Source organism: Homo sapiens, chromosome 1 (genome assembly GCF_000001405.40).
Source record: "Homo sapiens chromosome 1, GRCh38.p14 Primary Assembly".
NCBI classification, from domain to species: domain Eukaryota; kingdom Metazoa; phylum Chordata; class Mammalia; order Primates; family Hominidae; genus Homo; species Homo sapiens.
Genome location: NC_000001.11, coordinates 210,225,135 through 210,252,127, shown reverse-complemented (window position 1 = coordinate 210,252,127; position 26,993 = coordinate 210,225,135). Strand labels below are relative to the sequence as shown.

Sequence of the window (26,993 nt, the reverse complement as noted above, 5' to 3'; positions counted from 1 at the left end):
ATTCATCGCGAGCCTCTGGGGTAGGGCTCAGGCCTGAGGGTTTTGTAAAAGCTCCCGAAGGGGGCTCCGAGGTGCAATCAGGATTGAGAACTGGTGATTGAAGAACCACCGCGGTCTCCGGAAAGAAATAAACAAAGAGGCCTTCCTGGGGCGGAAGGGAAGAGGGCTGGCGGGTCCCCACCCGTGTGCAGGTGACCCCTTCACACCCGCATTCCCACGCCCAGGGACACGGTTACACGCACGCTTGGACACACGGGCACCCACACTCACCCGAACACACACACCCACGCCCATTCACGCTGTCCCGGACACACCCACACCCACTGCATTCTCCGGGCGAGTCCTGCGGCCGGAACCCAGACAGAGCGCGCCCGCTGGGGGCCGGGCCCCGCTGCTCCGAGGGTCTCAGGCCAGGAGGCCCGAGCGCGCCACAGCCGCTGACAGCGCGGCTCCTCCGAGCCCGGGGCGCTCGGCAGAGCCCCCGCCGGGCCGCGCCGCGCTCGCTCCGGCTCTTTGTTATGCTAATTCCCCTTCCCAGCTGGTGCCAGCTGCCTGCACAATGAGCGCCCGGAGCCCTTGCCAGCCCTCGCCAGCCAGGGAGTGGGGGCGGGGCGGGGGGGGGCCACCTCACACTGCGGCTGCCCTCCTCACCACCCCCTCGCCGTCCCAGCACAGCGCAGTCTGGCCGGGTGCTGAGCAGCCCAATAAGCAGCCTTTCCCCCGTCCTCCCCTCCCCCATGCTTGCAGGGCCGCGCCCCCCGGGGCCTGCAGGGCATCCTCTGATTCATTCCAGTCGCTAGGGCTGCCCGCCCTCCAGGTGCCAGGGCTTGATGATGAAAAGTAAAAGGCTCCTCCGCGGCTCGAGAGCCGTGAGGATGAAAGAGAAGCAGCCGCCTCCCAGACCACACAGCTAATCCTCCCATAAACCTCGAGCAAATAAGGGGAGAGGAAGAACAGGCCGGCTACAGATGTGGAGTGCAGCCTCCGGGGATCCCCAAATTAAAACTCGTGCAGGGGAAGCCCTTGGACCACAACCAAATGACACTAATTGGGTTATGGGACCATAATCTTGGCTGGTATTTAAAAAAAAAAAAAAAACAGTTATAGTCACAGCTGCAAGAACTGTCTTCATAAAAAGAAGGGGGAAAGTCCGCTATTTTATTACGCATAAGAATGAGAGAGAAGAGGGTTCACGGATCTCCTGCCTGCATGGTGCAGACAGGCTGGTTGCTTGAAGGCGAGGACAGTCTTGTGCCAGGGGGAGCCGCGTTGTGCCTGGCTGGCTCCGGGTGTGTGGAGCTAATCGGCTAAAGGAGGCGGGGGCAGGAGCACTCCAGGGGGAGGGGCAGAGGAACTGCAGTGAGAATGGGGAAGCATGGCCTATCCGGAGGAATGTATATTACAGAAGACAATAGATTAGCCGCCATATGCAGAAAACAATCATTTGGGACAGGAAAACTCAGAGATGTGTTCTTAAAGAAAGATCCAGAAGCAGTTTCTCAGTTTCACTGGGAGGGAAAAAAGGCATTCTGGGGAAGGGAAGGAAAGGAAAGGGTGACATGCAGAAAACTCAAGTGAACATCTTCAGAAAGATCCCTGATTGTTAGAATCAGGAATTGTTAGAATCAGAAGAGAAGGTTAGAAGGGAACAATCTTTTAGAGGCCCTTTGAATCCAGCCTCATCATTTGACAGATGGAAAATCAAGATCCAGAGAAGTGAAGGAGCTTGTTCATGGTTAGACAGCTAGTGAGTGGCAAACCTGGGCAAGACTCTGTTTCCTAACTCCTAATCTAGTTCTCACCACTAAGTTGGTTATAATCTTGTGGTTAAGAAACAGCAGTCATTTGACCAGAAATCAATACAATAGATTGACTCTAAGCAAATAAATGAAGAGTTATGATTTGTTCTTTTTCTTCTTCTTTCTTTCTTTTTGCTTTCTTCTTCTTTTATTTATTTATTTATTTTTTGGACAGATTCTTGCTCTTTGCTCTGTCACCCAGGCTATAGTGCAGTGGCGCAATCTCAGCTCACTGCAACCTCTGCTTCTGGGGTTCAAGCGATTCTCATGCCTCAGCCTCCAGAGTGGTGGGGACTGCAGGCTCACTGCAACCCCCACCTCCCGGTTTCAAGCGATCCTCCTGCCTCGGCCTCCCAAAGTGCTGGGATTAAGGTGTGCACCATCGTGCCTGGCCTAAACAGGACATTTTTAAAAGATTGAGGTAAGCTTTGTTGGATCTATAATAAGAACAAGTGTTAGAAATCAATTAATTCGTACAAATTCCATCCCAGGATTCTTCCTAGTATGTATTTCTTTATTCATCACTTAAAACACCCAGATAAATGGCCCCAGAATTTCTTTAAGAGTTCTTTCTGTGCAGGGACCAATACCATCTCTAGATAGAGATGTCCCTTGTGCATTAAGTCATCTTGCCTAAAACCAGCTAGGTCAAGATTGGGCTGGTTGAGAATTCTAATTGATCATCTTAACTGGTTAAAATTCTACTGATTGGGAAATAAAAATATCTACTCCAGCTGCTGGTTTTCCAAACTCTGAGAGGACAAAGGTTTAGAGATGGCCAGCCTAGACCTCCCTGGGCAGGCTGAGGTGTCCTGGCTTCCCACTGCCTCTCTCAGCTGGCTCAAATGGCAACTAATGTTGCCAATCATGAGATCCTAGCCCAGTCAGATAGGAGGGGAGCCTCTTGCAGAGAAGTCCTGGGACCCCCATGGTACAACACTGCATTTGCTCTCATTATACTCTGTTGCCCATTTCTCATTCTCAAGCCATATGGTTCAGTTTTGTTCTCATTTCAGGACCTACCCATCAGCAAGCCTGCTACAAATGAACCTCACCTTAGGGAAAAATATATACTCTTCAAAAATAGAGAGACAGAATGTAATTTTGTAAATGGAATTCTATTTTGAAATTATCAGTGGGTTTCTGAGTTTACTGGCAAAACAGAAGGGATAAGAATTTGAAATAGGGATAACCAACCTCTAGTTGACCTTATACATGGAAACTGTATCCCAGTTATTTTATAATAGGCTGTGTCCTTGGTTGTGGTTATCCAGACAATTCTGCTTTGGCCTCCAAAATTATCAGGTAGAGGAGCACAAGGAATAGCGTTTAGTCTAAATTATCTCCCCTGCCCCCCTCCTGCCTTTTTTTTTTTTTTTTTTTTTTTGGAGACAGAGTCTCACTTCCTCATCCAGGCTGTATGCAGTGGATCCATCTAGGCTCACTGCAACCTCTGCCTCTGAGGTTCAAGCAATTCTCCTACCTTGGCCTCCCGAGTAGCTGGGATTAAAGGCGCCCCCCACCACACAGGCCCGGCTAACTTTTGTATTTTTAGTAGACACGGGGTTTCACCATGTTGACCAGGCTGGTCTTGAACTCTTAACCTCAAGTGATCCATCCGCCTTGGCCTCCCAAAGTGCTGGGATTACCAGCAGGCATGAGCTGCCGCGCCTGCCCCCCCTTTTTTTCCTAACTTAATACTGTACTTTTTCTGAGTAAAAGCTAGGTTTAAGAAAATTATTTGATACAACAACTAAATAAACTTGAACTTTGGCAAATCCTAGAGATGAGTCAGAGGTTAGTGGTTTTTAATCTTTCCATTTGTAAGGGACACCTCTTATTCCCTTCACATAGCCAATGTTCTGAAAGATTCTGTCTGACAAACAAATTGTATTTATTAAGGATAATGCCTTCGTTTTCCCAGTCAGAGTTTCTTCTCAGTTTGTGACAGCCTGGAGCTGATTTAATTCCAGCCAAAGGTAAGGAAATCTGATGTGGGGTTAGCCTGTGCAACCACTTTCAGAAGATTTTATGATTTGGTATTTTAAATACTAAACATATCTCAAGGTCACCAATGACGACTTTCATAGCTAAGGGCCCTGGGACCCCAGGTTTCATACCATCCCCCTGTTTAACTTCAAGCTTGCTGTACAGAACCAAAGAGGCTGAATACTTTCCACCAAAAGGAGGATCTGGCACGGTTGGGTTCCACTTGCCGGGCATTCAAGGACAGTAATGGAGAAGTCATGGAGGCTTGTTCACTGCAAACCCATAATGTACACCCAGGCAATGTTGAGTCACTTCCCTGATATTAAAACCTTTAATCCTGACAACCTGATGAGGTGGATAATGTGTGCTGCTCCATTTTACAGATGAGTAAACTGAGGCACTAGGAGGTAAAGTGGCTTGTTGGCCAAGGCCAAGCTTGCACAGCTACCCTGGCAGAGCTGAGATTTTCATCCAGGCAGTCTAACTCCAAACCCCCTACTCTTAACCCTCTTCTATACTCCAGTCTTGTGAGAAACCCACAACCTCTGTGCCTAAACTGAACAGGAGAGAGATTCCTTGGGCTAATGACCATAACTGTTCACAAATACAGTTTGGTGGGTTTATTGAAAAGCACAGCATCTAAGGACATGGAGAACAAGGAGAACCCCTCCCAGCTCCAGAAAGGGCAGACAAGCCATTTCTCTCTTCCTGCAAAAACATTTAAAACAATCCTTTAGTCCCTGAAATGTTTTTTTCTGTTTTCCTAAAGAGGTTTGACAAAGAAACAAAAAATTCTGTCTTCTTTCCCTTGCAGTCTTTAGACTTTTCCTTAAAGAGAGTGGATTCACTCTGCAGTGTACAGGGAGCACTGTATTTCTCAGATTTCCTTCAGTGTACTGGACCAGAGATCAACTCCCCAACCTTTTGCGCAAATCCCTTGCATAGCCTGTCATTCTCTATCTTTTGCTTATTGTGCACACAGGGATGTTGTGAGTTTTGAAGATGGTATAGATATCTGAGTGCTGTGCCAAGTGTATTTCAGAGACATCTACTCATCTCTTGGCTGAGAGGATACCAGGGTCTTACCACATCTGAGAGCTTAGTTCATTGCAGTCACTTTAGAGGGTATCTGAAGAAAAAGCACTGCGTCTAGAAGTATCAAAGATGGGTTCATGTGTGTGCTGACCAGAGGAGGCAGTGGAGAATCATATGCCTGATGCCTGGACTCAGCTGCTTCCATGGAAAGATCTGGATAGAGGTAATGCCTGCCGAAGGCCAGGCTGGTCTGCACAGCACAAGACTAGGGTACGTTAGATCCCTTTCCCCCAAAGTTCTGATATTTGCCTATTGTCTTGGAGATCTTGGCACAAAGCAAGATCATAACTTACATCTCTGCAAGTTCTTTTATATGTAGGTCCTCCCCACAAGATTTTATTCGATTTTCATATTTTTAAATCAAGAGAAGAGTCATAGAAATGGGGTTGAGAAATATAAGAAATTTCATGAGAAACAACTAATACATCGCCATACATTCTATCAGTTTCATTGTGGTCAAAAGCAGGTGTTTCCACACTGTGAATAAGTAGTTTGCATTTTCAAAGTTAACAAATTGGATCAACAACAAAGAAAAGAAACCAACCATAGACAGCCCACCAGCGGATTGTTTACCAAAGAAGATGAAGCTCATGGCGATGGTTTGCAAACACCACCAGACTAGCTTGTGTAAATTCCCTTCGTTTAGTCATCGTTCTTCAGCCTGTCACAGATACTGAAGGGAAATGCAGAAACAGGAAATTACAGACTATTTTAAACAGCATGTTTTATTAAAGTCACTTGCTGATGCACTTTATGGCAGGATGCGAGATTCAAGTGTTCATAACTTACATCTTTGCAAGTGCTTTTCCTAAGTGAGTTCTCCCAGCTCAAATATGGCAGGTACCCAAGGCTGGGAAATAATCTCCAAACTAGTAACTCTTTCACCCCAGGTCGTGTAGCTATATCACATAGAATTGAGACATTTTAGCCATGTCAAGATAATATACCTTGCTTAGGCACTATAGCTAAGAAAGCAACAGAGAGGCATCTTGTAGTAACTTAAAAGATCCTTAATGCATTTATTTTAAACCACAAAATCAAAATACAGCAATCTTAAAATGAATCACTATAAACCATACATTGTCTCTTCTTTTATTATTTAAATACTGATATCATTCTTCTCTTCATGGGACAGTTCTGCACCTAGTTTAAACCATCATTACTAATGCCATGCTGAATGCTTGTCTCTGAAAAAATCTAGTAAAATTGGCAGGGATGTGATAACCTTAACTACAAATGAAATAACTTCAAATTTAAGGGGCTGTCAGAAAAATGGAATTTCACAACTAATTATTTCCAAAAAAGTCTCCTGCTCACCATTTGTTAGAAGGATATAAAAACCTAGCTGCATCACATAGGAATCCTTGTATCCTTGTCTTATATTTGTTGCGAAGTTGATGTCTCTTAATGGTCATGTCTTCTACAAGTTGTCCTCTGCTCTGCTCCTGATACACAGAAAGGAAGTCACCAAGTGGAGCTGTAATACAAGTTCATAACTGGAGGGGTGGGTAGCCATGTCTTGATGGAGTTAACTATGAGCTCTAAAAATAAATACTTTCATTCCCTTGCTTCACCATTTAACAAAGAAGCATGTAAAATGTTCTAAATTTCTGTTGTCTTAATAAAAGGTCACGCCAAAGATGCTTTCCCCTAATTTTCAATTCATTGCCAGGTAGTGGCATCTGCTGGTTTTGAATTTTTCTGTCTTCCTCCCATGTCCCCTGTCCCTGCAATCCTGTCCCTAGGACCCCTGCAAAGTGAAATGTAGAATAATAGGATTTTGAGTGGAAAGATGATGATGAGACTTTTGCCCTTTGAAAATCCCTTTGCCAGACCACCTTCTATAATCTGCTGTTTTTAGAAAGGAAGGACCAGAGACAAAGGTTAATGATTTCATTAATGATATGCACCCAGATGCCTAGGGGAATAGCAATTAAAGGCACTCTTGGGGAGCAAGGCAACTTTCTTAAATGAAGATTTCCCCTCATTTATCTTTTAATAGTCTTGATTCTGTCATATCAGGTTTTCCTTAAAGCAGAGCACAGCAATGAGAGAAGGTGCAGCTTCCAGGCGCGTAGATACCAGTGTGGGTGGAGGATGTCTTAGCTTTTCCAAGTTGCTCGAGATAAAACTATAGAATCCAGTTAAGAGATATAACTTACTATGAAGGGTGTCCTGGCCACTCTAGGAAAATCTAATGGAATATCTCATGCATAAAAGACAATGCTGGGTGCATGGGAGGTGAACACAGGAAGTCCTAGCACTCTCGCCTACTAACAAGAGAATTTTTGTGGTTTGGATGGGTGTTTAGGAATTAGTGTTTGGTGAAGAAATTTTTTTTTGCAATGCTAGAAATATCCTGGAAACAAAAACTTGATGACTAAAAAGAACAGATTTTTATGCTGCTGGATTCAAAGGCATCACTTATCCTACAGAGAAGTGATTCTAGTGGGTTCTACCGAACAGGTGCAGGCGCTCACAGCTCAGGTGAGTGCTGCTGAAAATCACCAACTTTGTCATTTTACAGCTTTGGCCTTCAAGAAAAACACTATCTAGTAATGCTGGGGCTTTTAAAAAGCAGAAGGATAAGTCCTTTCGTTCATATTTAAATCTCCATGAGATATTACACTCATAATAAGAATGCTACATTTGACAAATTAATTAGTTTTTAACTAGCTTTCCCCTTTATCAAATATTAGCTCCTAAGAACATTAATATGGAATTGTATGGAATGCTACTAGCAATAATCTGTAGCTGTTATAACTGTTTACATATGGGTCATCTTCACAGTTTGACAGTTCATAATGCAATCAGCTAAGATTCAGTATTTATGGCTTCGTGTTATACAATTTTTTTCAGAGACACTCCAGAAAGGAAAATCTTTACATTCTTTCAGACATAACCTTATTGATCACCACATCATCTATTAACATTGTGCTTCTTAATCAATAGAAACTTAAACTTACGAACTAGGATCATTCTGAAACACCTGTCAGATTGGCATTTTAAAATACTCTTTAATTTAGAAAACTCCTGTGTGGCCACTATCCACTACAGTTTCTAGATGTTTTGAGTTTTTTAAAGGAGAGAGAATAATGGAAAAGAGAAACATAGCCAATAGCCATTAAAATTTAAAAAACTTAATGAATTTTTATCATCTTAATAAATATATATCAAGAAAACCTCACTTTATTACAACACATTCATATACAAGCATCTATTAGCTAAGTTTTGAACATCAAATGTTTATCAAATATTGAAAATAAAGGACAAAACATTACTAGACTATTTAACTATAACACAAGAAAATGTTTTAAAAATTGGTCTTTGTGGACAATTGTCCAAATGATCCTACTCATACACTGTATGAATGAGACCTATATTTAATATTAATAGCAATAATAAAAAAAGCTTTATCTTGGAGAAACTGGGAGGGCTTACTTATTTCCTCCGTTTGGCATTTGGTTTCTGTGAAGTATTATTTGAACAGGCCCAAGTCAATTAGTAAACTTGGAAACTGGAATACAGTTTAGCAGGAAGAGTTGGCTGGAGTGGAAGGAAGGATGGTAGGAGGGCCACTCTGAACACTTTTCAAATGTACAAGTTAAAGATATTATTTGGAAAATGTAGACCAAATACATAGTAACTATTATAGATTAAGTCCCATTTCTCCAAAATAACTTTCAAAAACCTAAAGTCTTTACATTCTTTAAGATAAACCTTATTGATCACCACATCATTTATTAACATTGTGCTTCTTAATCAACAGCAAAGTTCATATATAAAAACCCACATGCTTTTATAATCTAAACAAGTGAAATGATGCAAAACAGAGAAAAGTATAATGCATGCCACTGGTTCGTGAACTTCATTGGACAAGAAAACAAAACAAAACAACCCAAAACCCAGAAAACCCCAACCCCAGCAACACACAGTTGCCATAGAAAAGCTCGAGCAGCCCGTGCTGCTTTCTAACAGCTCTCTCTCTCATTTCCTCCATCCCTATTGAAAAAACGGCGAATCCAAAAGCAATTGGGCATCAAAAATAAAGAATAGAGATGTCGAATCAAAAGCTGAACACAATAGTTCAAAGTTAACAGTTTCCAAACCATATTGATCCACCCTGTGGTTTTTTTTTTTTTTTTTTTTTTGTCCTGTTTGTTAAATCCCTGCTGTAACTCTGATTTATCCTTAATTTTCACATTGGCAAAAATTAAGATAAAAGTAAGGCACCAAAAATCGCCCTGTATAACACCTCTCTAAAAGCCTCATCACCCATCACAGGCAAGCCAGAAACTTGCAGGGAATACCCTCTCTGTGTAAGACTGTTGATTGCCGCCCCTAGACAGGTGTGTTTCATTATGTTACATCCTATTTTCATCTGTCACACAAGACTGTTAGGTACAAATACTTAACAGCACCATTAAGCCATTTCATCTAGCTCCCTGTCTTTAGTCTTTTATTTAAAAAAAATATTGTATCATATAGAAGAAGCAGGTATCTTTGCTGGTTATATTGATTTGCTTACCAAATAACTCCCTAATTAACTGGCAAACATGTAGAAATTTCTTAGCTAGTGACAGGCTCCTTGGGGGGCAATGGAAATATTGCAAGGGCACATTGTCCCCCAATCTCATCTACTGATCTTTTCCGTAAGAAAACTATGATATACTTTTAAGCATTAAGTCAATCGTTTCCTTGGTAAAAATCACCACATTTATAAGAAGCTCGCTGATGCCTGCTATACAGATGTTTTACGCAATCTGCTCTCCAGGCATTAAAACGACATGGCATGTTCATGGCATAATTTTATCTGTTGTACAAAACTACAAAATCCATTCAAAATAAAATTTACGAGAGCTAACTGATCATGCTGTGCATGCTTCAAAGTTCGGTGAGAAGATGGCTCATATTTTACTTCCTTTGCTGCAGCACAGTTTGTTACTTGGTGGTGAAGCCTCCTTTTTCCGTAAGGACTTTTTCCAAGATTCATTTACATTGTTTCTTTCATTATATCCGGTCTCAAAATAATCATAAAATTGGCCTTTGCACTCAAAAGCAAGGTCATTTCCCACAGGTTCGTGGCTGAGGGGGCCACCATCTCTGTTGGTGTCATCATTTGCTTTCTCATCATTTAATTTGGCCTTTTCCTGAACACCAAGTGATCTGACATTAGTGACAAAGATTTCATTGGCAGGTATCTGGCCATCACTCTTGTAAATAGATGCACTACCTACATCAAAATCCACCTGGCGGGAACAACTCGGTAAAGGCAAAGGGGGAGAGGAAGAGGAAGATGAGGAGGAAGAAGAGGCGGAGGGAGAGGAGGCAGCAGTGGAGGCACTTCCAACATTAGCATTGACAGAAAGGGGTAAATTTAGGTAGTGGCCACCACATTCTTGGTAAAAGCAGCAGGCATGAAACTTTTCACATTCCTCTTTGGCCATCCGTGGTCGTTTTCGGTAAGGGCAGTCTTGAGCCATAAACCACTCTTGGGCAGAGGTGCCATTGAAAGAGCAGGCAGGGAAGCACCAGTTATTCTGCATGATAATTTCTCCATGGATCCTTTTCATCAAATTGTTTATAAGGACAGATCTTCGGAGGTACACTTCAGGATCATCGATAAACTTTAGCTTTTCTAAGGACATATAAAGGATGTGGGCTCGTTCCTCAAAAATTGAGATGGTCTACAAACCAAAAAAAAAAAAAAGAAAAAAACAAACAGAAAAAGGAAGAGAGAAAGCTTAGAAAATGGACTATATGAAAACATCATCATAGCATACTTCTTTCTTGGCACTGTCTGGGTCTGGGCATGTTGTGGTCTTGTTCCGCAGGGTTAATTTAGAGAGGCTGTCCCCCATTCTGCTGATATTCCCTTTCCTCACTTGGCTGGAGCACCCACCCACTTCCTGACTCACTGGTGTGGTCAAGCACTAGGGAATCGAGCCACAGTGCAGGCCCCAGGAGGGACAGTTCAGGTGGTTTGATCTATTATGGCCCAATAAGGAAGATGCTGAAACACAAAACTAATCTAAGCTATTAGAAGTCAGGAGAGGAGGTACTTTCAGAGTTGGGGTGAGCGGGGCGAGGGGTAGTGTTAGAAGCCGGCAGAAGGAAGATTCTGGTTGCTAGTTATGTTTTGGTTCTCGACCTGGATGTTAGTTACATGACCTCATGAAATTCATCAAGCTGTACTGTGATACCTGTACTTTTTTATGTGTGTCTATACAAATACACACACACAGACACATAACTCATATATTGTACATCAATACATGTTTTTAAAATGATGCCAAAATGCAAGTCATAATGAATATACTTCAAACCCTGGTCTAGCCAAGAAGGAGCATGAGATTTGGCTTTTAATGCTGTCCCTCTTTTAATCCTTTGGGTTTCATACTTGCAATTATCCTTGCTTGATAAGAGGACACACTAATGAATGAGGCTCAGACCCTGACAGAATGTGTCAGTTGAAGGACCAAAGTAGGCTTCCTTGTGGAGCTGAGTGGGAGACGAGATGCCGAGAGGAAATGAGAGGGCTCACTCCTGAGCTGTGTGACACTGTCACTATGCGATGGTTGGTGCAAATCCAGTAGCAACTGGGAAACTGCTACAACCACAACACAGAAACTAAAAAGGAAATAAACTGCTTGTGTCCTGGGGACCAGTTATTCCAGGCCATCAAAAAAGCAAACTGGCACCATAACCTGAGGAGCTGTGAACTAAACCAGCCCATACTGACCAAAGGCAGGGACTACACATGCAGGGAAAAGCCCAGTACCTACCAATGCATTCTGCTGTCTTTTCATGAGCAAGGTAAAAGCAACATCTAAAGGATGAGGTGGCAGAGGGGGAAGGCAAGAGGAGACAGAGAGGAAGAAGAATTGAAAATCCTCTCTGCATTTCAGACAACTATGGTCTGTGCTTATACCTGCCTTGATTAAATCAGCAGATAGTTATTGAAGGAAGGTAACTCTAAAGAAAAATGAACTGATATTTCAAAAGCTTAGATGCCCAGATTCATAATTCTATGCAATTTCCCCATCTTGTTTTTTTTTTTAACTATACCTACAAAAAAGTTAGCTTTGGTCTTTTCCTGGAAATGAAGTCCATGTTTCAACAAACTTATATGTAACCCATGTCCAGTGAAGTGCATATTTCTACTTGTATACACACATTCAAGGATGATGAGTCTACCCATAAGAGGTCAGGAAAAGCCCTGTGTAACCACCCCCATGTGGACACACAGGGAAGTAGCATTGGCTGCAGGAGCCAGAACTCAGACTGGGGAGAACATGACAGGAAAGAACGAGCGCATTCCCCACACACAAAAGTGTGGAAGAACCATAACCCAAAACACAGTCTGAGAAATATTAAATCATACGTTAAAAAAAATTCCTTGGATTACATAATTTTGACATTTCTGGGTAGAATAGCTCTTGCCAGCTTTTTCTTCAAGTACTTGTGAAAAATAACACAGGACCCAAAAAAGCGACAACGATTAATGAGGCTCCACTGAGAAGTGGCTCATTTTCATTGCTTGGGTGAAACAATTTAATTCCTGGAAGTGGATCAAGCAACTGTTACTAAGTATCTTAAACTCTTAATAAAAATAATGACTATTAAAAAAACATACTTTATGGCTACAGCTGCTGAGTGGTGGGTGAAAATCCTCTTCTTCCACATACTTCCTCTTAAAGTATGTGATCTTGGATGTTGTTATAGGATTTGAAATTCCCCTGTAATGTGATCCTGTGGTAATAAATCAGATATGACAAATGACATGCGGTTTGCCAGAGGTTCTCCAAACAAAATACTTTCGTTTCCTTTCCTTCTAGAGGATAACTTGGCTACATATTTGTCTGTACATGTGGTGATTAAAAATAAACATTTGTCTTAATAGTTGCTATCATATGGAATCCTGTGACCCAGGCTAGGAAAAGATTTCTAGGCAATTATAGAGGAAAATCACATATTTTAGCATTTAATAAATATGCAGAATCTTAATTCTATGCAAAAGGAAACTGCAACATTCATAAAGGGGAGGAGTGTAATTTCTCTAAAATATATTAGTATTTATTTAAATTGTTTAATTAAATTCATGACAACATAGCACCACTGTTAAAGATGTATACATCTTTAACTGTAACCACTGATAACCAAACAACTTTGAAATCTTATTGGCTTTAGGTTAGTGAACAAATGGTTATCTGCACATTGGGATTATAGCATTCCTTTTTTTCAAAATACAAAATTCAAATTTTTAAAATTTGAGTTAAAATTTTGGGTAACTAATGTCCTTTTCACTCTCCAAAATGTAGTATGCCAACCATGAAGACCACAGTTTTTAATCTTTTTTAGCAAAACAGACTTCATTGAGTACTTGTTTTATATTTTAGTTTCTTTTAAAAATAGCTAATACTGCAAAAAAATCCAAAGGAACTTAAACTATAAGAAGAAAGAATCAGGAAGAACATACTTCTATTTTCTTGGCTTTAAATTTTTTTCCTACAATCCTAAAACCAATTGTGTGCTTTACCCATTTATGCCATAGGTTGCAAATTTTTTTGTGTTTGAAAAGTCAGACCTTGGTGATGACCTTGAGCAGTAGGATATAAATAACTTCCACAAGCTTAGCGTTCCAATAATGGAACACTGGGCATAAATGGGTTAACAAAGAAAAGAAGCTCATAGCTGCTGGCCCAAAGTGCAGATTCCTTTATATCTCATGGGATAAAGGTGTCATTGTTGAGCCCACCAGAGCTTTCATAGTTGTGAGAGAACCATACAGTTCCACAGGGTAGAAAACCAAAACCCAAACTCAGAGTTTCAATATCTGGTTTGGCCCTCTTAAAAATACAGACACATGACTTATATTCAAAAAGCAGCATGGGTAGACACAGGTTTGAATGCAATTTAAATATCACCTCTGGTCCTCTCTCTGGAGCTCTGGACTCACTTATGAGAGGCGCACAGGCAGCCCGGGAAGTCCCTGGAGCTTTAGCTCTCCTGGCTCAGAGGGGCACCCCAGACACCACCTCCTGTCCACCAGGCTGGCTGCAAAGGGCAGCGAGGGGTGGGGGGGATGGGCGCAGGTCAAGGGCAATACCTGCCAGTGGGGGACCAGCTCCCCGGTCTCCCTGCAAAGGAGCTTGTGCTGGCCCTGGGGGGCTTGGGCCTCCGTAGCTGTCAGCCTCCCATAGTGTTTGGTACCCAGCAATTTCAGCAGCTCCTTCCGAGACAATGGGCTCGCAGAATCTATTCATGGACAGAACCAGAGTCATCTCTGACAGCCTCAGATCTGAAAAGAAAAAAAAAAAAAACAAGAATGAAGAAAACAGCCCTAATCAAGAGCAAGCCAAGGGACGGCCTTGGCATCTTCATTTCTTTGCTTTGGGAAACTTTTACTTCTCGGCCCTCCCCTTTACCCTGAAACATTTTATTATTTTTTCAAAGAAAACCTCAGCAAACTCTCTAGCTGCTATTAGCTCAGCCTCTGTGTTCAGCAATCTGCATTTCATGGGCGGATCTTTAAAACCCCATTTCTTATTGTTCTCAGATTCCCTTCAGCCCTCTTCTAGACAGCTGCTTTGCCTCCTAAACACATTTTCCTCCTGACCTTCCAAAGAAAATGTACTGCTAAGAAGCCAAAACCCTTGCGCTTCCTTTCTATTAATAAGGCAAAATCAATTTTCTAGTCAATCCCCCGGGAGTCTCCTTTGATGAAATCCACTAATCAATCAAAAGAAAAGGGCAGGGGAAGCAGAAATATCCACCGTAATTCCAACTGATGCTCTGAGGTTCAGTCTGTTCCGCTGCCCCCTGCACCCTCCTCCTCTCGTTTCCGCAGGCCAGTTCCTCTACAACATGCTGGGGCTCCCTCCACTTTCTTCTCCCAAAGCAAAGCAGACAGAGAGACACTTGGTAGTTGTTTCCACCAGCCCTGATCGGCCTGAACTGGATCTGCCTCCAGTCAAAACACTGCGAGATGAAGACAGAAAATTGGCTCCAGTTTCAAGCCGTGAGTTGCAGTCCCACAGGAGCCAAGCACAACATCAACGGAGCAGGCAGAATATTAAACAGGAGCCAGGCTCTGGGGCCAGAGGCAGCCAACAACTCTTTACACTGCAAAGCCCAGACACAGAGCAGGAACTTTCCAAGAGGCAACACATCACTGCCCTTCTCTCCAGTTCACGCCCTTCTCCCTTGGGCCTGCAGGGAGATGGGAGCTTCTCTGCTCTGTGAGGCTTCCTGGGCCCCTCGATAGCTCAGGCAGTGAGGCCGCTTTCATGGGGGCTCTGTGTCTTCACTTGGCCCTTTGCAGGTCTCGAGGTAGGGTCAAGAGTAAGTTCAAGGGAGAGGAGAGTCTGATATGAAGGTAAAAAGACCTAGCAGCCATAGACCAGTGGTGACAGTAGCGCAACCTCAGTGCCTCCTTAACTGCCAATCCCTTTAGGAGACTCAAGCCCCCACTATCTCATTCTGTGGTTTCAAGAACTGTCACACAAGTGACGTCAGGCTTTCTGAAGATTGATTGTCTTTCAAACATAAACTAAGGGCCCAGTTCTTGCTTTCTTTTCCAAATTATACAGCTTGTAATGTTTCTGGGAAAGAGTGAATCTACCATTGTCTCGTGGGAGACTATTATTACCTACATGCTATAACAAGGGTCCACTTCCAAGGAAAAAGAGGAAAAACACCAGGGTAAGGCGAAATAGCATCATTAAAGTGACAATGTCCTTCTGGCTAAAAGAGCAGCTCTTGGCAGCAATGACTCTACCTTTCACCCAGTCTTCTCTCTGAGGTCTCAAATTCTGTCCCAACCACACTGAATAATGAAGCAAGATCTTTTGACAGACAGGGAAGGTGTACAGGTCAGTGGAGAGAATTAGGACTCAGCTGGTTTGGGCTGCTACAACACCTCCCCGTTCTCTTTTAAGATGCCCTCCAAAGAGACATCAGTACGGACTTATTAGTAAACCTTAAAACAAGTGGGCAAAAGAAAGGTTCGATTAAATCTTTACAAAGAAACGATGGGACATGTCATTTATTTTTCTCTTTGAGTCATCAACAAAGAAATTTAGCCTACATTGATTTAACAAATTAAGTCCTTCTGTCTATCATTTCTCAAACTCCTCATCCAAGTAGGGTATCAAACTTCATGATGATTTATTCCCTGGAAGACTCTCATGAAATTGTCCAGTTTCTTCACCTATTCTAAGAGACAATCATATCAGGAAATACTATTGCCAAGAGCACATGAATTACAGCTTTTCAACAGTCAGCAGCCCTTTCTTATTGAGAGAATCAACATTTTCTAGTTTGAAGTTTACACTCACTTTTGTGTTAGATCATGGGAATAAGATGCAAGCCTTTTGCCTATGCAGACTTTTATTTCATGTAAACAAAAGCAGGTTGTCAAACTCATGCCCCTTAAGAAAGAAAAACATTTGCAGGCTCCTGGCAGCAATTACTTTTGTTTAACAGGACATTATATGGGCCCTGTGCTGTTTTATGTTTGTCAGAGTTTGTTTATATTTTAATAACTTTTTGGTAGTACCTTTTTTGGTTGTGAGGAATTTCAGCGTTTCTATTTGTTAGCATTATTTCCAGCATATCCTATTATGCACGTGAACTTGAAACATGGCATAACAGTATTTATCTTGGCTATTATTTTGTTCACAATATCTAATTTTACTAAGTTTTTCTTTTTTAAATTGAGAACTGTTACACACAAAACCCTAAACTAGAGAGGCTGAGTTCTGCAAGTGATTTATGTAAATCTGAATAAAACATGAATGAGTTGGGATTATTTGGGAGCGGGGAGGAGATTTTGCAATTGAGTCTTCCTAGTCTATTTAAAACTTACACTGGATGTTAACAAATTAAGAAGGCAAGTTGAATGTTCACGAAAAATTGGACAGGGCAGCGTTAAGCACAAATGCTTAACGTGAATCTTTCTTCGTATTATATGTAGAGATCTAAACTGTCATAATTCTCTGTCTGATAAGATTTATAATTCTGCTACTGACGTCAGCAATTCAAGTCCACAAATTCGTGTTCTATTAATATTAAATAAAGAAAAGGATATACATTATGGCAAAATTTATTTTCTAAGATCAGAGGTGATGGATTCAACAGGAGGGTGTTAGAGTGTGTTTTGTCTATGCATGGGTTTAAAAGATAAGAAAAAAAAAAGCCCTAACCCTTCATCCTCAGGCTCCTGAATGTCTGTTTTGACACCCAGGTGGATGTAGTGGAATGACACTTCCAGCATCCCCAGAAGACTGAGGGCTAGAATGCCAAGCTTTTCCAGCAAATGTTCGTAGTAAAGTTACCAGGCATTTCTATACAATTTGTTTTTTTCCAGATGAGTTGGGCTTGTTCTTTCCTAGAAGCAATTATGATGCTAATAGGAGTGGCTGGCACACAAAACAGGGTAGCTATGAATTCAGCGGCACCTTGAATCTAACAAGGGGCTCCAGGTCATTCTTTGCTCACTTCTTCTTCCATCTGTCATTGAAAATTGGAGAGCATTTGATTAAGATCATTATAGCAGTTAGCAGTCTGATTCCAGCACTGGAAAGCAGGGAAGTAAAGGGCTATTTCCACCCCCGATCGATGCTGCCAGTTTTAAATGGCATCAAGCCCCTGACCTCCACATTGTCCCAAAATGATCTCAATAGCTTGTCCGGCTCCTGGTGGTGGTAGTGGAAGGGACTGGATGGGCGGAACAAAATTCTTCAACCCTTCTAAACAAACAGATGTCGCTTTTCTGCCGTTCCTGCAGTACACCTGTCTGCCCTGGGAAGTACATTTCTCAGCTGCAGCCCCGCGAGGCCAAGAGCTTGAAGCTGGGTCCTGTGGTTGGGGCTGCAGGTGCTGGGCCTAAAGAGCACGAAGGGGTGCTCCGATGCCCGAGCCCTGGTGCCCAAGGTGTGTGTGTGTGTGGCGGTTGCGGGGGTGGGGTCCGAGGTTTGGAGGGCCGACCTCTTGAAGGCGGGCGGCAGCCACCAACCACATCCTGGCTCCCGCACAGACACACCCCCGGGGTGTCGGTGCCGCAGCCCTCAGCCCCTCCCCGGGTAGCCAGCAGCGCCCGGTCGGCCGCTGGCCGCAGGAGAAAGTAAACAACACCCCAAGTGTCCGGGAACAAAGGCAAGTTGTCTTTCTACGGTGCCGCAGCCGTGTGCCTCTTCTGAAGAATAAGAGCTATTATTATTCTTTATGTCTTATCCTTTTTTTTTTTTAAAAAAAAAACCAAGTTTCCTTCTAAGGGAAATAAACACCAAAGGTAGGATTCCAAGGAAATGACTCACAGCGGCTGGCAGGGCTCTGGCGGGGCTGGCCCGGGCCCCCGCGCTCCAGCCCGCAGCAGATGTCGGCCCGGCCTTCCCTCCCTCCCTTGCCGGCCAAACCCGCTGGAAGCCCGCGGTTGCGGGAGCGCCCTGCGCCCGTGGGACCTGGCGGCGAGGACGCCTATTCCCTGCTTCTGCGACCACAGCTGGGCACTCGGAAAGTTGCTAGGGCCGAAGAGGCGGGAGGGGAGGAAGGGAAGCGAGAGGCGGAGGCGTGGACCAGGCGGGCAGCAGCCTCAGCCCGCCGAGGAGGTGAGCTGAGGACAGAGGAGCCGCCGCCGCCCGCAGCGCAGCTCTGCTGCCTGGGAGGAGGGTGCGGGGGCGGAGGTGGCGGGGGACAGAAGGTGTCAGCTACTGCATCAATTCCTTTTTCTTGCAAACGCGCGCTCCTGACATCCACAATCCCTCTCTCCCCACCTGCCAAGCGCCGCGGCATCCGGACCTGGGGGCACCCCTCCTACTTAACCCCTTCCCCTACGATGAGGGACTAAGCGGCCACGGAGGACCATGAGGTCTCACCAGAGCTTCTGACCCCACCCGCCCCTGGAGTTGTCTCGGTGCGCGCGGGTGGCAGCCCGAGCAGCCCTAGAGGAGGCGGCGGTTCCCGCCCTGGTGAAGGCGCCGCGGCGCACGCTAGCCCAGGGAAAAGCCCGCGCCGCCTCCGCGCCCAGCTGTGCCTTGGCCCCCACGCCGCCCCGACTCCGCTCCGGCCGCTGCGAGTCCACTCGGTGACCTCGGCACAGCCCTGGTGCCAAGAGGGCGCGCGGGAGGCCGCGTGGGTGCCCGTCTGCGAGGGCAGGAGCCCCGGGGGGCCCTCGCCCTCCACCCTGCCCGGCCCTCCCGCCCCCGCGGCCCGCGCCCAGCCCGGCTCTTACCGCGGGGTCAGCGGGGAGGCGGCGGCCGCAGCGCTTGAGCTGCTGCTGGTCCGCTCTGGGCTCGGCGCCAGCCCGGCCGCCGGTGCACACTCGCGGGTCCCGGCCCGGCCGCCCGCTCGGCGGTGACTGCGGGTGCGCGGCGGGCAAGGGTCCCGGCAGGTCCCGCCGCCGCGACTGGGGCGCTGCGCCGCCGTCGCTGCAGACGGTTATGGTAATGAGCGGCTCTGTCTAGCGAGGAGCGTGTGAAACCCGTCAATCCTGTTTGCCATTTCCCCGTGGATTTCCGAGGAGAGGTTCTGCAGGATGCCCCCAGGGTGAGAGAGGGAACATGACAAGCGCGCCCGCTCTCCCTCCCTCCCTCTGCTCAGGCCGCCGCCGCCGCTCCTCAGGCTGCACACGGGGCGCCTTTCCCGCACCCCCACCCCAGCCCGCCCCCTGCCTCCTTCCCTGCTTCCCGCCCTCCCTCCTCCTTTTCCTCCCCTCCCCTCCCGGTGCCCGGGGACACGCGGGCCCAGCTCCAGCCCGCAGCCCAGACCCCACGCGCTCTCGGGCTCCCGCCCTAGCCCTGGGGGCTTGGCTCCAGCCGAATAATGTATTCACTCTGGAACCTTCCGAGATATCTTGTCTTTTTAAATTTGGTTTAGTTTTGTTGTTGTTGTGTGTGCGTGTGATTAAAAAAAAAATCTGTGCCTTTCCCACCCTTTGCAAAAGACTTTCTTCTCCTTTGCCACAGCAAACGGAGATGAGAAACAGATGTCTTTGCAGGACCAAACAGTTATTCTCCCTCGCCGCCCGCCCCCGCCCGTTTCCCTCCTGAGCTGCGTACGTATTAAAAAAAAAAAAAAAAGCAACCTTGGTCCTGCTGCAACTTGAATTGGCAACCCTTTCTGGGTGGGGAGCCTCCAGGGAAAACCTCCAGGAAATAAAAAGTAATACAAGAGATTGTCCTTGCTCAAGAGAATGTAATTTAAGCCTTGGAATCAGAATATTTTGCAAATAGTAATTTTCTCCTATAGTGGCCTCAGAGTTTATTTTTTAAAATCATTAATTCATAACTTCTGTCTAGGGACCCCTCCATAGTCGAGATGGGTCATTTCAGGTGTAATGAAGGCAGAGGCTTGGAAGGCATAGACCTAATAAAATCGGGAGAAGGCACCTGCACAAAAGTGTTACAAAGACTATAATGTTTGTTTACTGCCACTATACCAGATGTGCTAAATATAACACTTCTTTAAAACAGTGATCCTCCGACTGTGAAAAACCAGACCTCTGGCTGCCTGGCTCCCTAGGAATCAAGAAGACGCACAGACTGAAAATCAAGGGAGGAAGGAACAAGATCAAGGATGAGGATTAGCATCTGCAAATTGAACTCTATCTAATTTGCATGTTTATTTCTTAGAATTGTAATTAAATTTGTGTAATAAATGTTTTCCATTTCATTTGTACACTTAAAACTTGGGTGACTGACATGCAGTTAAGTGAATTTCCTTTTTTTAAAAGCAAATGTAGATTATTCAATAAAGCAGCAAACCAATATTAAACATAATTAGAACTAATTTGTTTTGAAGGTGTTTTTGTTGAACTTTGTACATTAAAGACTCTCAGAGGTTTTAAGGGTATTAGGAAGCTGAGAGATGGCAATTATGCTTAAAACAGATGAACCCAACAGCCTACCAAGAGCATTATTTCATTTTTTCCAAAAGACATTCCAGGGTTGCATGCCTAAAATTGGGAATTGGGCATCCATCTTGGCTTTATTCTGAACCATATTAAATTGCATTGGCTCATGCATGATGTGGGCCATTATGATGATAATTTAAGAATTGTAAAGATGCCATTTTGTGCAGTCAATGGAAGTTGCATGTCCAGGTTAAGAGTAGAGTATAATTTTCATCTGGGTGGGAGAGGAGGGTTAGGAAAGGCACAAGGGCATTTAAAGCAGTGCAAGTACGTAGAAATCCAAATTTCCAAATAATCTAAAACTGGTTATTGTCAAACTCAAAAGAACTAAATGTGAGGGTTTGGAGGCATGGCTTATTATGGTTTTTATCTCCCTATATTAAAGTTTTATGGCATTTAAAGGACTATGGGTAAATCCCCATGTACACTTGGCTGTGTGAAAATACATAAAATCAAAAGGAGCAAATTAAGCATAAAATTGAGAAATAACATGAGACTAAGTTATCAGCATGGGTGCACTGGCATCTTTGGAGCTTTGGCTCGGAGAAATGAGCCTTCTGGGAAACTGGCATTGCCCTTGGGTGGAGAAGACTCTTGGCTTTAATGTTACAACAAAATGGTATCACAAGTATCAAATCATTGTACTTCACAGCATCCTTGCAGTTCTGAGTATGAACTAGACCCTGTCCTCATCAGATACATTAGGTTAGCATGTTTTACTGACAGCTTTCCCTGCCCTACCTTTAATCCTAAGCTTAATGTTTTTTGAGATTCAATACCCAACTGTTGACAACATGAACCTGTGTCTACAAGTACAAGAGGCAGACAAATGTCTATGGAATGAGAAACCTCATTACAAATTTAAGGTGACTATGTGGTAGCTATGGCATGAAAAAAGAACCAACTATAAATCAATAATGAAAAATTTGGAATGAGTAATTGTTATTTATAATGAGGTACAATATTTAATTGACAACTATGATGTCATCATTTTGGGGTGTGTGTGTGTGTGTATGTGTGTGTGTGTGTGAGAAGCTCCAAATAGAAGTTTGATTATAAAACTTATAATACTTTGAGCTGCAAATTTACTGAAGGCAGTGGTTGTTTTCCTTTGTTTAACAAAGAGACTTTCAGACTTAAAATTGCTGAAACCCATTTCACAAAACCTTTTTGTCATTTGTCTGATAGGGGGATTTCACAAGTAAAATTTGACTTATTCAGATTGTTGTGGACACAATACCCACTTGGATTAATTGAAAGTTAAAATTACTGGCTTAAAAAAATAGACCATTTTTGGCTGGGTACGGTGGCTCACGCCTATAATCCCAGCACTTTGGGAGGCCAAGGCGGGTGGATCACCTGAGGTCAGGAGTTTGAGACCAGCCTGACCAACACGGCGAAACCCCGCCTCTACTAAAAATACAAAAAATTAGCTGAGCATGGTGGCAGGCGCCTGTAATCCAGCTACTCAGGAGGCTGAGGCAGGAGAATAGCTTGAACCCAGGAGGCAGAGGTTGCAGTGAGCCAAGATCGCACCACTGCACTCCAGCCTGGGTGCAACAGAGCAAGAATCCATCAAAAAAACAAACAGCAACAATAAAAAAAAAAAAAACATTTTTTTAATGGCAAAAAGAAGCATCTGCACCCAATTCCTCTTCTATTCTCAAACCTTTTCCACTGAGGCTTTCTTATCCGATCACTCCATTGAAACTGTTCTGGTCAATGTCACCACTGACCTCCACGTTGTTAAATCCAAAGGCCATTTTGCATCTAACTTGACCCTTAAGCAGCATTTGACCCAGTTGCCCACTCCCTCCTCCTTTAAACGCCTTTATCTTGGCTCCTGGGACAACACATCCACCTGATTTGCCTCCTGCCTCACTGGTTGTTCCTCTCAGTCTCCTTTGCTGGTTCCCCCTCTTATCTAGGACCTCTGGATGTTGGGTTGCCTCAAGCTCAGTCCTTGCACCTTGTCTCTTCTCTACAGTCACTCTCTTGTGGATCTCATCTAGTCTCTTCCCTTCAAAACTCTCTATATTCTGATGACTCCCAAATTCATATCTGTAGCCAAGACTCTCTTCTGACTTCCAGACTCTGTGTAGATGCCTAATGGGTATCACAAGCTTTACAGACCCAAAACTCAACCCCTATTATCTCTGCTTTCCCAACCTATGCCACCTTTAATAGTCTCCTTCAATAAACAACAGTATTTTTCTACTTGCTCTGACAAAACTCCTTAGAGTCATCATTGATTTTTTTTACTTCATCTCCTTTATCTAATATATCAGAAAGTCCTTGAGAGGCTACCTTTAAATTTTTTCTTGACTCGGCCAGGCGCGGTTGCTCATGCCTGTAATCCCAGCACTTTGGGAGACCGAGGGGGGTGAATCACGAGGTCAGGAGATTGAGACCATCCTGGCTAACATCATGAAACCCCCTCTCTATTAAAAGTACAAAAAAAAAAGTAGTCAGGCATGGTGGCATGCACCCGTTGTCCCAGCTACTTGGGAGGCTGAGTCAGGAGAATCTCTTGAACCTGGGAGGCGGAAGTTGCAGTGAGCCAAGATCGCACCACTGCACTCCAGCATGGGTGACAGAGTGAGACTCCATCTCAAAAAAAAAAAAAAAAATTTCTTGACTCTGATCACTTCTCATTATCTCTACCACCACCATTCTGGTCCACGCTTTCATCATGATCTTCTGCCTAGGATATGACAATGGCCTCCTAACTGGTCTTCCTGCTTACATCTTTGGCCCTCTTTCTAGTTCAATCTCGGGTCAACAGCAATGGTGTCAATTTTTGCCAAGGCTCTTCCTAGAGCTCCCCATTCAAAATAAAAGCCATGTTCTTGTAATAGCCTGCAAAGACTAGAAGTCTCTCTTTATTTCTCTGATCTCACTCTGCCTCCAACAACTCCAGCCACTCTGGCCTCCTTTCTGTTCCTCTAACAGCCAGCTTTGCTGTCCTCAGGACATTTGCACTGGCTATTCCCTCTTCCTTTTGTGCTCTTTCCTCAGATAGCTGCACAGATACATGTCCACCTCTTCCACATCCCAGCTCAAGTATCATCTTTTTAATAAGCCCTGACCACTATGCTTGAAATTCTAACACTTCACCTTTATAGCCTGCTTGATTTTCATCCAGAGGATAAAATAAAGATCACCTTCTAATCTGTTATGCATGTGTTCAATGTATCACTTCTCTTCTTCCACTAGAAAGTAATGTCCATAAGGGGAGGGATTTTTGTCTTTTTTGTTAGCCCCCGTATCTTCAGCACCTAGCACAGTACAAGTACTTGGCATACTGAAAGCACTCAATAAATATATAATGATTGTTTGAACAACTGACTGACAGTTTCACGTATATACAGAACCCAAACAAGGCTAAAATAGTGCTAGTCTAATCTAGTGGATGTAGAATGGATAAACAGGCAGTTAGTTTTATTACCTCATTTGCCTCCCAGAATCCTCTGGCCTAGAGCTGCCATCTGCCCTGCAGCTTTCCAGGACCTGAAGATACTACCAAGATTCCCGGGACCCAGTGGTTTCATGCTGCCCTCCCTGCCTGAGAGTCCCAGTACTAGATTTTATCCATGTGGATGCTGGTGCTCTGGACCAGCCTGCCTTGCCCCCAACACAGATTTTCTTCATTGCCAAGATGCTTGTGCTAAGCTACAGTCTTATACAAGATAATAAAGTGTGTAAAATTGCTCTCCAGGAGCCTAGGATATCATTTCTTGGCATAGCTACCCTTTCAGAGTTCCTCCACTTTCTTTCTTATCCTCCTTCAAAACTCATTCAAAAATACTTCAATAATTAAGTGCATTTTACATGCAAGAATAGATCTAGGCACTGCAGGTGAAGTAGAGATTAATAAGACACTATTCCTAGACTTATGGATTGTCAATACAGTGAGTAGCATAAGGCAAGCATAGGCATGATGGCACTATTTAGTAAGTCGGGGCACAGCAGTGGCCATGGGAGTTCCACGATGAGACGATCACATCCAGCTGGGAAAGCCAGAAAGACGTAGTGAAGAAAGTAAAACCTGAAGTTGACCTTGAAGATAGGTAGCTCTCAATGGCTGGAAATGGGGAATGAGTGAAATGTGGAGGAAACAATTTGAGGAAAGGCACGTAGGCTGGAAAGCAAAGGGAATCTTTGAGAGGAGTGAGTGTTCCGGTTTTACTAGTGGGTACATGAAAGTAAAAGTGTATCATAATATAGTGTATCATAATATTGTGTATGATAATACAGTGTATATTACATAATACAGTGTATGATAATATATTATGCTATTAATATTGTATTACGAATATACATAATTCAGTGTATCATAATATACACTGAAAAGCAAGATGAGTTTGATCTGAATTTAATAAGCAATGGGAAACATTACAGTTTTCAAACTGGAGAATGATATGATTGAAGCTAAGCTTTAGGAAGAGTAACGTGCAGTGGGGAGCGGTGCTGGGAATTGTGAGTAAGAAGCTCTTTTGGCAGTCTAGGGAGGAAAAGTGAAGGTCTGCATGAGATAGGGGGCCTCTGAATGAGAGCCCCTTCAAGTGCAAGGTATCACTGAGTTGGAATCCTCAGGATGTAATCACTGACTGTGGGGAAGAGAAGAAGGAAAGATGACTCCGACATTACTACTTGAGTGACGTTACTACTACTGTGTGGCTAAGGAAACCTGTAACAAATGAGAAGCAGGTATGAAGAGAATAGCATGTGTTGGTTCTGGGTATTTTGAGTATGAAGTGTAGACAGGGATGTCCACTAGTTAGCTGAATATTCCAGTCTAGGTGTGGACATAATATGAGAGCAAATTACAAAAAATTGTGATTATTTCAATAAACATAAAGGTTGAAGTTTTAGGACTTCATAAAATTACTGAAGACATTTCAGAGAATTAAACAGTAAAGGGTTTCAGTCAGCATCTTCAAGAATCTGATAAATACATTTGCTCAGAGATGAAAAAAATAACATTTTGGGCTTAATGTGTGACTTGTTTCAGGAATATCTGTGTTTAATAGTATACAAAGACCCTTTTGGCTAAAATTTAAAATAAAAAATTTGAGAAGGGATGGTGGAGTTTGGGTAGCAGGCAGTCCCTTCTAACTGCCCTGATATCATGACACAGAAGTAGTTATGTGCTGGACTTCCTCATGTGGCTGAATTTACTTATTTGCCATCACAGATGGAAAGAGATTTGATATTTCATAAATAATCCTGCAATAATTCCTGAAAAGTTGTAAATCACTGACAGTGAGCTTGGAGTGTTATCTCTCTCAGGGACATTTGTATTTTAATAGGAGTCTCATAATGCTACAAAAACTTTAATCAAAGCAATTAATAACTAATGACATGATTTCAGACGTAATACAAGCTAATGAGTATTATTTCTGAATGGAAGTCACTATATATTTATATATGTATGCATATGTATAGAGAGAGAGTCCCTTGCTCAAGGTAATATTTTGGAAAACCTATATCAGTAAATAGATAGGAGTGGTTTCAGTAAACATATCAATCCTTTTTTAATTGAAAAAAAATAGAAATAGGGTGTCACTCTATTGCCCAGGTTGGAGTGCAATAGAGTGAGCAAAACTCACTGCAGCTTTGAACTCCTTGGCTCAAGCAATCCTCCCACCTCAGCCTCCTGAGTAGCTGGGACTACACACACACACACCACAACTCCTGGCTATTTTTTTATTTTTTGTAAAGATGGAGGTCTTGCTTGGTTTCCCAGGCTGGTCTCAAACTCCTGGCTTCCAGTGATCCTCCCGCTCCCAAAGTGCTGGTCCAAAGTGCTGGGATTACAGGTATGAGCCACCACACCTGGCCCATACCAATTATTTGTAAAGAGATGTCATTCTAACATCTAACAGATATAAGCTGTGTTTGTCTGTTTGTGTTGCTATGAAAGGATACCTGTGGCTGGGTAAACTTATGAAGAAGAGAGGTTTATTTGGCTCACAGTTCTGCAGGCTATACAAGAAGCATGGTGCCAACATCTGCTTCTGGTGAGGGCCTCAGGGAGCTTACAATCATGGTAGAAGGCAAAGGAGGAAACTGTATCACATAGAGAGAAAGGAAACGAGAGAGGGGAGGGGTGCCAGGCTCTTGTAAATAACTAGCTCTCACATGAATTCACAGACTGAGAACTCACTCTTTACCATGAGGATGGCACCAAGTCA

The 26,993-nt window shown here is 43.6% G+C and overlaps 1 protein-coding gene and 1 long non-coding RNA gene across 5 annotated transcripts, besides 3 other annotated features; one reads left to right on the top strand and one right to left on the bottom strand.

The window, feature by feature from the left end:
• Positions 205 to 760: an enhancer, noted in NCBI's record as "H3K27ac-H3K4me1 hESC enhancer chr1:210424713-210425268 (GRCh37/hg19 assembly coordinates)". NCBI's record gives its function as "activates a minimal SCP1, AML or CMV promoter by ChIP-STARR-seq in primed H9 embryonic stem cells {active_cell/tissue: H9 hESC(primed)}" and the evidence as "EXISTENCE:reporter gene assay evidence [ECO:0000049][PMID:30033119]".
• Positions 5,497 to 19,332, bottom strand: SERTAD4 (SERTA domain containing 4). Of its 4 annotated transcripts, none has more exons than NM_001354173.2 (5): positions 19,117 to 19,332; positions 13,993 to 14,184; positions 12,520 to 12,635; positions 6,201 to 6,328; positions 5,497 to 5,556 (listed from the first exon to the last, which is right to left on the bottom strand). In NM_001354173.2, exons 2-5 carry the CDS (start codon positions 14,165 to 14,167, stop codon positions 5,526 to 5,528), a joined length of 450 nt encoding a protein of 149 aa, NP_001341102.1. In that variant the 5' UTR covers positions 14,168 to 14,184; positions 19,117 to 19,332; the 3' UTR covers positions 5,497 to 5,525. The 4 variants fall into 4 exon arrangements, with proteins under 4 accessions (NP_001341102.1, XP_047281492.1, NP_062551.1 ...); XM_047425536.1 differs by lacking the exon at positions 19,117 to 19,332 and adding an exon at positions 14,660 to 14,842; NM_019605.5 differs by lacking the exon at positions 5,497 to 5,556 and having other exon boundaries at positions 5,873 to 10,570.
• Positions 13,472 to 13,982: an enhancer, noted in NCBI's record as "H3K4me1 hESC enhancer chr1:210411491-210412001 (GRCh37/hg19 assembly coordinates)". NCBI's record gives its function as "activates a minimal SCP1, AML or CMV promoter by ChIP-STARR-seq in naive H9 embryonic stem cells {active_cell/tissue: H9 hESC(naive)}" and the evidence as "EXISTENCE:reporter gene assay evidence [ECO:0000049][PMID:30033119]".
• Positions 18,243 to 20,672, top strand: SERTAD4-AS1 (SERTAD4 antisense RNA 1). The gene is made up of 2 exons (NR_024337.2): positions 18,243 to 18,493; positions 20,357 to 20,672. It is a non-coding gene; the product is annotated as an SERTAD4 antisense RNA 1 (long non-coding RNA).
• Positions 18,921 to 19,454: an enhancer, noted in NCBI's record as "H3K27ac hESC enhancer chr1:210406019-210406552 (GRCh37/hg19 assembly coordinates)". NCBI's record gives its function as "activates a minimal SCP1, AML or CMV promoter by ChIP-STARR-seq in primed H9 embryonic stem cells {active_cell/tissue: H9 hESC(primed)}" and the evidence as "EXISTENCE:reporter gene assay evidence [ECO:0000049][PMID:30033119]".
• Positions 20,673 to 26,993: the final 6,321 nt, after the last annotated feature.